Below are 4,907 nucleotides of genomic sequence, written 5' to 3'. Positions count from 1 at the left end.
ATATGGTTGGAGGTATGTGAAATCGCCCTGTAGAGCGGTGGTTCTCAGCCTGGCTGTACTTTAGAATCAGTTAAACCGCTTTCCAATATACCAGTGGCCAGGCACTGCCTCCAGAAATTCTGATCCCCTTGGTCCAGAATGGTATCTGAATGTCGATATTTTTTACAGCTACCCTGTGGATTCTAATGCATTGGACTGGGAGTTGTTTGGTCATCCATGTAAAGTGCATTCATTCTGTCTTTCATCCCTTTGGTCATCAAGTGTCATATGTGCCAACATACAAGAAAACTAAATCCACCGCTGAAAAGGGTGCCACAGAGTTTTAGCCAATGTAGACATATGAGCTTCTAGAAGTATAGACAATATAATCAAAACATCTACTTATATTTAACTTATTAATTTAGTTATACATATACATACATTTAAAATCATACATTACACAGAGTAGTGATTTATTTTAGAAGTGTTGCTTTTTCCATTCTCATATTCCACAAAATGATTTTTTTTTTTTTTTTTTTTGAGACAGAGTTTCACTCTTGTTGCCCAGGCCAGAGTGCAGTGGCGCAATCTCAGCTCACTGCAACCTCTGCCTCCTGGGTTCAAGTGATTCTCCTGCCTCAGCCTCCCGAGTAGCTGGGATTACAGGTGCCCGCCACCATGCCCGGCTAATTTTTTGTATTTTTAATAGAGATGGGGTTTCACCATGTTGGCTAGGCCAGTCTAGAACTCCTGACCTCAGGTAATTGCCTGCCTTGGCCTCCCAAAGTGCTAGGATCACAGGCGTGAACCAACGCGCCCAGCCCCACAAAACAGTTTTATTCAAACTTCTCACACGTGTCTACCACATTCGTTTCTTCACATCACTGAAGCCATATTTGGTGTCATCTCCAAAGTTTTCTGGTACACATCACCCACAGTGCTGTTTATTGATTGAAATCAGCAGTTCTTTAATACATGTGTGATGTGGTCACTGGAAATTTTATCCCCATGTCACAAAAATATGCATTTGTATAACATCAGGACAGTTGGTTGTTTGTGTGTGTTGTGGGCAGGGCGGGAGTCACCTGAGTGGCTAGGTTTACCCCAGCCCTCTTATGATGATCTACACTTTGTTCTGATCAGTTGTTAGATATTTCAAATATTACCACTGCTTTCTATCATATTCTTGATTTTTACAGTTTACCAACCCCTTGCCTTATTGCCCTTTAAAGTGAACCTCAAATGGCTTATTTACGACAACCACGCTTGCAAGTGTGACGTCACACACGCAGCAATGATTGCTAAGATTGTATTGAATGTTTTTTTTTTTTTTGAGATGGAGTTTCACTCTTGTTGACCAGGCCGGAGTGCAGTGGCGCAATCTCAGCTCACTGCAACCTCTGCCTCCTGGGTTCAAGCGATTCTCCTGCCTCAGCCTCCCGAGTAGCTGGGATTACAGGTGCCCGCCACCATGCCCGGCTAATTTTTTGTATTTTTAATAGAGATGGGGTTTCACCATGTTGGCTAGGCCAGTCTAGAACTCCTGACCTCAGGTAATTGCCCGCCTTGGCCTCCCAAAGTGCTAGGATTACTTACTTCTTTTTATTTTTTTAAATTATTCTATCAGAGGTGACCTCTAAGATGTTGTTTGTGGCAGTTTCTCCAGTGTTCTGGATTCAAAATAAGGTAACTGAGGATATGTTCCAGCATGTGAAATACTTTGTAAGGATTCCATTATAAGATGACTGATTTCTTCCAAAAGATCATTCCGAGAAAGAGGGATCTCACCTTTCATCCAAGCGTAGAGTTTTATTGAACACCAAATGATGAGGAAGTCATTGTTATTTACGTTTCTACACCCAAGGTGCTAAGAGGGATCACATTTAGGCCTCCACTTTGAGTTTCTTTCCCTTCTTTTGGGATCCTCAGACTCTGAAAAGTGACAGAGGCACAAGAGATGTCCTCCTCCTCACACCTCCGCCCCTGCCTCCTTTCTGCCAGGTGTCTGCATTCTGCCAGCTCCCTGTCTCAGCGGGACTGTGATGCAGCCAGGCAGCTTCTGGAAGGCACCGTGTTTGAACAGGGATGAGACAAACCTCCTTAAGCTGCTTATTCTAAGTTGGGGATTGTTCTTCCTAGTCAATTGATACTGGAAATAATTACTTCTTAGAATCTTTGAAAACTGAATGTGTAAAGAGAAATTAAAATCTAATTAAATGGATGTAGGCAGCTCTGTCTGAGCTGACGACTCTAAAGCCACTGCAGTTTGTTGAAGGTTACATTATCTCTCTGTCCCTGGGCACTTCGGGCTCTGCTTGGCTCTGAGCCCAGTGCTCCCTCTCCAACACCCTTTTGTCTGCCCTGTCCTGGGCCCAGGAGTCTCATTGTTCTTGGGCAGAAATTCTGGCTAAAATAGGCCATCTAGGTGGGGGTTGCTGAAGGGCTTCCTGCAGAGGATGGGGGTTCACTCTGATCTCGAAGCTTCAAATCAGTGCTTTGCAACAGGGGTGCTTCTGGCACTGCAGCAGGATAGTTCTGTTTCATGCATCTTTGGTAGGAGGAGGGGGCCATGCCTCCCCAGGTTGAGAGCCACTGCCTTGAGCCAGCTTTATTCAGCTACCAGCATGTAGCTGACAGCCAAGAACAATAAGCCGTAGACCCTCAGCTTCAGTGTGACAACCTCATAGACAGTGCTGCCCCAAGTGTGGTCTGTGGACACGTTACCAATCTTCCATGAGACCCGAGTAAGTGGCTAGAAGTTTTTATTGCCATTTGACATTGCCACATTTCCACTGCATCTTAAGGATTAGAAAATCGGTTTGCAATGGATTGGAGGAAAAAAACATGGGCCATCATCACAGATTGTTTGAGAACTTCTGTCCTAGAACCTTCTGGCCTATTCTGGACGCTGTTCTTTCCAACTCCAGCTTCTCCACACTCATGACCACAGGCTTGGTCTTGACGTTTGAACATGGTTTCTCTGGCTTTATTTGGTATGTGGTTCTTTCCTCTTATATTAGTCTGTTTTCACACTGCTGATAAAGACATACCCAAGACTGAGCAATTTACAAAAGAAAGAGGTTTATTGGACTTAACAGTTCCACGTGGCTGGGGAGGCCTCACAGTCATGGTGGAAGGCGAAAGTCATGTCTCCCATGGCGGCAAACAAGAAAAGAACAATTATGCAGGGAAACTCCCCTTTACAAAACAATCAGATCTTGTGAGACTTACTCACTAACACAAGAATGGCATGGGAAAGACCCGCCCCCATGATTCAATTATCTCCCACTAGGTCCCTCAAACAACACACGGGAATTATGGGAGCTACAAGATGAGATTTGGGTGGAGACATGAGCCAAACCATATCATTCCACACCTGGCCCCTCCCAAATCTCATATCTTCACATTTCAAAATCAATCATGCCTTCCCAACAGTCCCCCAAAGTCTTAACTCATTTCAGCATTAACTCTAAAGTCCACAGTCCGAAGTCTCATCTGAGACAAGGCAAGTCCCTTCTGCCTATGAGTGAGTAAAATCAAAAGCAAGTCAGTTACTTCCTAGGTACAATGGGGGTACAGGCATTGGGTAAATACAGCCATTCCAAATGGGAGAAATTGGCCAAAACAAAGGGGCTACAGTCCCCATGCAAGTCTGAAATTCAGTGGGGCAGTCAAATCTTAAAACTCCAAAATGATCTCCTTTGACTCCAGGTCTCACATCCAGGTCATGCTGATGCAAGAGGTGGGTTCCCAGTCTTGGGCAGCTCCACCCCTGTGGCTTTGCAGGGTACAGCCTCCCTCCCAGCTGCTTTCACAGGTTTGCGTTGAGTGTCTGTGGCTTTTCCAGGCGAAAGGTACAAGCTATTGATAGATCTACCATTTTGGGGTCTGGAGGATGGTGGCCCTCTTCTCACAGCTCCACTAGGTAGTGCCTCAGTAGGGACTCTGTGTGGGGACTCTGACCCCACATTTCCCTTCCACACTGCCCTAGCAGAGGTTCTCCATGAGGGCCCTGCCCCTGCAGCAAACTTCTGCCTGGGCATCCAGGCATTTCCATACATCCTCTGAAATCTAGGCGGAGGTTCCCAAACCCCAGTTCTTGAATTCTGTGCACTTGCAGGCTCAAGACCACATGGAAGCTGCCAAGGCTTGGGGCTTGCAACCTCTGAAGTCATGGCCTGAGCTCTATGTTGGCCCCTTTCAGCCAAGGCTGGAGCAGCTGGGATGCAGGGCACCAAGTCCCTAGGTAGCACACAGCATGGGAACCCTGGGCCTGGCCCATGAAACCACTTTTTCCTCCTAGGCCTGTGATGGGAAGGGCTGCTGTGAAGACCTCTGACATACACTGGAGAGAGACATTTTCCCCATTGTGTTGGTGATTAACATTTGGCTCCTCATTACTTATGCAAATTTCTGCAGCTGGCTTGAATTTGTCTTTAGAAAATGGGATTTTCTTTCTTATTGCATTGTCAGTCTGCAAATATTCTAAAGTTTATGCTCTGCTTCCCTTATAAAGCTGAATGAATGCCTTTAACAGCACCCAGGTCACCTCTCGAATGATTTGCTACTAAGAAATTTCTTCCACCAGATACTCTAAATCATCTCTGTCAAGTTCAAAGTTCCACAAATCTCTAGGGCAGGAGCAAAATGCTGCCAGTCTCTTTGCTACAACATAACAGGAGTCACCTTTGCTCCAGTTCCCAACAACTTCCTCATCTCCATCTGAGACCACCTCAGCCTGGACTTTATTGTCCATATCACTATCAGCATTTTGGGTAAAACCATTCAACAAGTCTCTAGGAAGTTCCAAACTTTCCCACATTTTCCTGTCTTCTTCTGAGCCCTCCAAACTATTCCATCCCCTGTCTGCTACCCAGTTCCAAAGTGGCTTCCACATTTTCAGGTATCTTTTCAGCAGCACCCCACTC

This window comes from Homo sapiens, chromosome 14, assembly GCF_000001405.40.
Source record: "Homo sapiens chromosome 14, GRCh38.p14 Primary Assembly".
Taxonomy (NCBI): Eukaryota; Metazoa; Chordata; class Mammalia; order Primates; family Hominidae; genus Homo; species Homo sapiens.
This window is presented reverse-complemented; position numbering follows the sequence as displayed.